Source organism: Homo sapiens, chromosome 20, assembly GCF_000001405.40.
Source record: "Homo sapiens chromosome 20, GRCh38.p14 Primary Assembly".
Classification (NCBI taxonomy): domain Eukaryota; kingdom Metazoa; phylum Chordata; class Mammalia; order Primates; family Hominidae; genus Homo; species Homo sapiens.
Genome location: NC_000020.11, coordinates 9,014,722 through 9,022,028, shown reverse-complemented (window position 1 = coordinate 9,022,028; position 7,307 = coordinate 9,014,722).

Sequence of the window (7,307 nt, the reverse complement as noted above, 5' to 3'; positions counted from 1 at the left end):
AGGACAGAAGGCCTCTTTGATTTCTTGGGAGAGCACAAACTTGGAGAAAGTGAAGCCTGTGGAAAGGTAACTGGAAAGGAAAGCCCCATAGAATGCATACAGGTCTGCCAAGCTTTCTCCTGGGGAAGGATTTGCAGAACAGAGACTGCATTGTTAGTCCACAAGTTACCCAAGACATCTCCCTATTCCTCCCTGCTGAGTTCCTGACTAGGACCTAATTTAAAACCCAGAGATTTGCTTCTGGGTCCTAAATGTGCCCATGTTTCTTCTGTCATGAGCAACGACTCAGGCTAGCTGTTTGCTTCTCTCACGTGGCCTCTCTGTATCCATGCTAGCCCGTAATTCCCATATCCCCCCTAAAGACTTCCTATGGAAAGGGTTTGTTTATCTGCCCATGAAGAGGAGCCCTCATTTTAAGCAATCTGTGTCCACTGGTGTATCCATTTTCACTCCCAATTGGCACTGTTGGTTCTCCACTCGTATCCTGTTTACTGTCCTGCACCCTCATCCTTCAGCTGCCACGAGAGCTGCAGCTAATGGCTCACAGTTGCACCCTTCCCTGGAGAATTGCCCTTGACTGATGGGAGTCACCTGGTCTGGAGATGCCTGGCAGGTTAACTCTCCCATGACCAAGTGGCTGTGACTAATAAGTAAGAGGGCACAAAAGCCTGGTCTCTTTGACCCAGTACCAGACAACTTTGCTATGCAATTTGTGCTCCAGAGCACCCCCACACCGATCAGGTTGAGGCTACCATTCTTGAGGCCTCACCCTTGCTTGGTTCCTTCCAATTCTGTATTCTACTTCCTTCTCTCTCCCATAGGTCTTCTGAACGTACCTCCTTAATAAATTATGTGCACACACATCCTTGGTTCAGGCTCTGCTTCTAGAAAACCCAAGACAATGGTCTCCTGATCCCAGAGTGAGGAGTACATAGTATACTGTCTTATCTTGGGAGAAAAAAAAAAAAAGCCCTGCTATTTTTGGTGCTATCAAACAGATTCCCTTGAGGTATACAAACACAACATGTAGTGAGCCTGTAGAAGACCATTGACAACTGTCTGTTGTCCCTCAAAGAGATGCTTGCTGGTGTTTGGCACTCACCTGAATATGACAGATTGCTGCAAGGCTGAATTTGTGGATAAATACTACCTAACTATGACTACAACATGAGTGAGTAACAGACATGGCAATTACAAGGATTTGATAAAAGATGATTTTAACCTGCAGAAGTGTCAATTGTTTTGAGTGTCTACTGAGTTTCTTCATGACGCTCTATTTTTTAACTAAGTCAAAAATTATTTGGGTGGAGTTCTCCAAAGACAACCTAATACCTTTTTTCCCTCAAAGTATGGTTCATGGACCAGTAGCATCAGCATCACCTGGGAGCTCATTAGAAATGCAGAATCTTGGCTGCATGGCTTATGCCTGTAATCCCAGCACTTCGGGAGGCCGAGTTGAGTGGATCACTTGCGGTCAGAAGATTGAGGCATGCCTGGCCAACATAGTGAAACCCCGTCTCTACTAAAAATATAAAAATTAGCTAGGAGTGATGGTGCGTGCCTGTAATCCCAGCTAATCAGGAGGCTGAGGCAGGGAGAATTGTTTGAACCTGGGAGGCTAAGGTTGTGGTGAACCAAGATCGCGCCACTGCACTCCAGCCTGGGTGACAGAATGAGACTCTGTCTCAAAAAAAAAAAAAAAAAAAAAAAAATTGCAGAATCCTGTGGACCCCAACCCAGACTGGCTGAATTAGAATTTGCAACAAGATCTCCTAGGAGATTCTTATGCATGTGAAAGTTTGAGAACACTAGCTCAAAGACATTCTATTGGTGAGTTCTGCTTGGTTATAATAACTGTGCAAAAATTTGAAAGTGATAGAATTCACAACAACTATAGCTCATGGTAGAATAACAACTCAGTCATCTAGAGATCAATGATTCTGTAGCTTGAACCACCCAGGACACAGGCTAGCACTGAGGGTGTTATGCAAAAGATCTCTGAGAAACCAAAATAGATGTCACAAAGACCACAAACCAAAACTCACTTGTCTTAGAGGAAATCTCCTTAGACTCTCTCTTAGTTGACATTTATTTTTAGCTGTGTGTTCAGTCTAATAAGATTAGTTATCTGGTTTGAAAGCCTTCTGGAAATTTGAAAGAGCAATTAAAAGGAGAAAAGTGATCTCCTGGAGTTCTCAAAATATAATCTTGGGACCAGGGGCATCAGCATGCGCTGAGGACTTGCTAGAAATGCAAAGATTGGGTCTACCCCTGACCTAGTGAAATAGAAATGTGGGGGTGTGATCCAGCCACCTGTGGTTCAACAAGCCTCTCAGGTGATTCTGATGCATGCTCAAATTTTGTTTCCATTGTCCTGGAGGAAGCGAAGAGTGAAACTGATGACAAGGGAAGAGATGGGGAAAACAAATAAAGAGAGGAACTGAACAGGCTGGGAAGTCTTAGGATCATTTTGGTTTGGTTAAGGGGGTGAGCTAGGGCAGATTTTAGTAGGCAGAGGGTCGTGAAACAATTGCATGGCTGGGGTATTTATTTTTGAAGTAAGACAGAGAAAATGCTAGAAACGCTGTGAGGAAGTCATTGCAGGCTATTCAAGGAGTTTGGCTTTTGTACTCCCAAGTACTGTGGAGTCTTAATCTTTAAGTGGTAGAGTAACCTGATTAAAAAAGAAAAAAAAAGTTTTGTAGCTTACAGGAAGAGGATTTCATTATTTAAAGATTATCCAGTGATGCTGAATAAATGCAGCACTATTATATTCAGTTAAACCAGGAACAATGTCATGTAGATAACCCTGAAGTCACTGACACAAGGCTCTTCTGTAATAGGATCTAGTTGTACCCGTTATGATGTACTTGAGACTTGGAGATAGAAATCTTCACAGAAAATGGAAACAGTCATGTTAACATTTCAGGGCACCTTTCCTTGTTATATAACATAACTGTATCTCTCTTCAAAACACTTTCTTTCTATATTGTTCTAACAATATTTCCATAATGTCAATTTTGGTTTCCCATTTTCCCTTCATATCTTTGTGCTTTTAGCCAGTTATATAAGCCATAGTCAGCTTCTAGTTTGCAATTGATTTTTGAGTAGATACAAAAATTAAAAAAAAATATGAAACCACGACTTTAATATTTGTACAAACCATAATGTAATTCAGCCTATGTTATATACTGACTCATTACTAGTTATAATTTTCTTTTGCTTTCTTAAATTTTTCTTGTTTATTTTTGATGAATTATGTAGACTGACACAAAATTGCACACCATGTTGCTCTGCCAGATCTGTAGCTGGGTGATAATGCTAAAACAAAAGGTCTAAAATGTCCTTTAGAGTGGAGAAATACAGAGGGTACATTAAAATACATTGTTCCGTGAGCATTATTCAGAAGCAGCACTGCTTGGTGTTTTGTTTAAATTATCAAAGAGTTAAAAAACAAAACAAAACTGGATGATGTCTTGGTGGCTTCAGGAAGTTCATGTGTCTCCTTTAAACCCCAGCATCAAAAGAAATAACATTATGTTAAGACACATGTTAATTCAGGGTAGACTGCTTCCAGGATAAAGGAACACTTACCCTGCCTGAATGGAAGAGCCTGTACTTTTGCACTTAACTAAATACAGCTCTTGGGGTGTGTAAGTACCTTGATACCACTAACCTAATACAGAGAGATGCCAGCTCTAATGACTAGCACGGTTTCAATGTATTTTAGTTCTCTTTGATACGGATCTTCTTGAAACAGAAAAGAAAGTCATGGGTTGCTTCAAAAAGCATTCCTGAAACATTGACAAAATGTTCTCTGCAGTTTTACTATCAATGGTGGTCTTTCATTTATTGCAAAATAGGACACCTACTTATGCAACTGAAACAAATGAAAAACACATTACTGGATTTTTTTTTTTTTTTTTTTTAGTGGTTATATAACCTTTCAGAGATAAGCAAACCGTACTTTTTATATGAGGATACATAGAGACATGATGGATGTTCGTTTCATAATGATGTAAAAAATAATATTTATATGAGCGATGTTGGGGCAGAATAGCTTTGTAGGGGAAAATATGTATACATTTTTATATAGTACCTGGGTTTTGGCCTTATGGGTTGATGCAGTGTCAAAATTCCCAAAGATTTTGAATACCTCTCTCATGGGTATAACACACACACATATACATATTCCTAGATGAATTACACATCTAAAAGTGCTATGTTCTAAAAATAAGGAGGAGCCAGGTGCAGTGGCTCATGCCTGTGATCCCAGCACTTTGAGAGGCTGAGGCGGGTGGATCACTTGATGTCAGGAGTTCGAGACCAGCTTGGCCAACATGGTGAAACCCTGTCTTTAGTACAAATACAAAAACTAGCCAGGTGAGTTTGTGGGCACCTGTAATCCCAGCCTCTCGGGAGGCTGAGGCAGGAGAACTGCTTGAACTTGGGAGGCAGACATTGCAGTGAGCCAAGATCATGCCACTTCACTCCAGCCTGGGTGACAGAGTGAGAATCTGTCTCAAAAAAATAAAAAATAAAAATAAAAATAAAGAGGAGAAAAAGGTACAGTCATTTTATAATCTACCATTCCCATATTCCTCCAAAATGAGAAAATAATAGCTGCTAATTTTATTAAATCCAATTTAAAGTATTAATTATTATTAATTATAAACTATTATAATAATAGGCACATATACTCAAGGTGGTTTTAAAATTTCTTAATTGGAAGAGAAGTGCCTCATTCATATGCTGCTTTCTTTATCTGGACTCTTTCACTTCTCCAAAACCTGCAACCCCTTAGTTTTGCCTCAACAGGTTAAAGTCTTATTTTACCGGGATCTCTGATTGGAAGTCACCACCTTTAAGAAGGCTTCTGTGATTTCCTTCCACCAAAAAGTCTGAATCAGTAGCTTCTTTTTTGTATGCCCGTGATGCCTCCCCATCTTAACACTTATAACTCTGTATTTAAATTCCCAGCTTTCCTGTCTCCTTGGGAGACTGAATCCTTTTAAGAATTGGAAGGAAGGCTTGTTTGCTGTGATGTCCTTAGGGCTGAGTACAGTTGTTGAAGAAGGATTTAATTGTCAAATGAGTGAATGCCTGTATTTTCAGAACTTTTTATGCTCTGGTTAGTATGTCCAACCATCAAAAAAGATCCATAATCCAAAAAAGTCCATAATGCCACTGAATGTGGCAGTTCATAACATTTGACTCATCTTTTCCATAGATTTACAATTAAAACTTCGGCCATACACATGTAGTGGTTAACAGACTCTGGAGCCAGAATGCTGGGGTTCAAACCACAGCTCTGAGAGACATTGGAAAATTTGCTTAAACTCTCCATTACTTGTTTTCTCATTAGTAGAAGATTTAATTAATTCATGTGTATGCAGCAATTTGAACAGTGCCTGGGAGATAGTAAGTTTGCCTAAGTTTGTTATTTTAATATTATTATTTTATTAATATTTGTAAAATAACCCAGTGACTAATATGATATTTGGCTATATTTTGACAAACCAGTTCTCTAAATATATACATTTATTTTCTTGCCCATTTTTATCTATCAATTGGGATGAAAAATACAAACGCTGAAGTCAAATAAAGATATGATAATATTTCCACTTTCTCTCTTCCAAAGGTATTTTTTCTTAATTTTCCACAATCATAAAATGTAAGCCCTCTCTTGCAATCCTCTTTGCACTGAAAATAATCTCATGCTTTGACATAATTTGAGATTCAAACTTGACATGAGTTCCACTTTCATTTTCCAGTGCCAGAGTACTGCGGGCTATGATGAAAGAAGGCATTCCATGTGCCAAATCCTCAAACCAAATACATGTATCCTCTGAGTTCAGAATTGTGAGAGTGAGGCCTGTTATTATTAGACTGATAAAGTAACAAGAGTATTTTGCACACAGGTGGTATCTACTCAATGCATATGTCAATGCAGTGTCACTTCTGCCACATTCTATTCATGAGAACAGAGTCACTGAGGCCAGCCCATTCTCAGGGAGGACATTCCTTATGGGTAAGACATTCCTTACCCATTCCTTATGGGTAAGACATTCCTTACCCATTCCTTATGGGTAAGACATTCCTTACCCATTCCTTATGGGTAAGACATTCCTTACCCATTCCTTATGGGTAAGACATTCCTTACCCATTCCTTATGGGTAAGACATTCCTTACCCATTCCTTATGCGTAAGACATTCCTTACCCATTCCTTATGGGTAAGACATTCCTTACCCATTCCTTATGGGTAAGACATTCCTTACCCATTCCTTATGGGTAAGACATTCCTTACCCATTCCTTATGGGTAAGACATTCCTTACCCATTCCTTATGCGTAAGACATTCCTTACCCATTCCTTATGGGTAAGACATTCCTTACCCATTCCTTATGGGTAAGACATTCCTTACCCATTCCTTATGGGTAAGACATTCCTCTGCACGCTCTTTGGCTTAATATTTATACGAGGAAGACTGAGATGGTTCAATTGCCACAAATATCCTTCTTTTTGGTGTGCCAAAATCTCAGAAATCACCACTAAAGAACTTATTCATAACCAAACACCACCTGTTCCCCAAAAACATACGGAAATAAAAAATAAATTTTTAAAAAAGGACAAAATAAACCCCCATGATTAAAAAAATTCATCTTTAAAATTTCCCTATGTATACCTATCCTGAAAAACTTAGACACCTCTATAGCTTTGATTTTAAGCTTTTATTTTATTCATCGTTTACATATTACCCATTGACAAGCAATCAAAAAACTGTCTCCTGAAACACATGAATATAAAACGACCACTCTCCTATAACCTTTCACAGACAAAATATTGTTCCTGAAGTAAGGAACAGGCATGTATCTATGCATATTGTCCACAAAATAATTGCAGAAACATCCACCTTTCTAAAGCTTTCACCCCCAGTGCATCAGTGTTTACTCACTTTGAAGAAACCATTGTTCTCATTTGATACCAAGGAAAAAGAAAAAGACAGCAAAACCGGGATGGAGGGTTATTTCTTTAAGCCACAGAAAGACTTGGAGAGAACAGGAGGGAAGTTTCTGGGGCTTCCCTTTGTTAAATAACCTCCTTTGTTCATCTGTTTTGTCAGTTTTCAATAGTAGTATTATTTTTGTCTGTACCAGCAGAACAGATCTTCAGCCAAAAAGAAAGAAAAGGCAAACCTTGAACATTGATTTTTTTTTTAGAAATCACTTAAAAATTGATTCCACTTAGAGATATGAAGCTCTAACCTTACCAATTATCTGTGTATAGTCCCAGGGGCAAAACCTTGA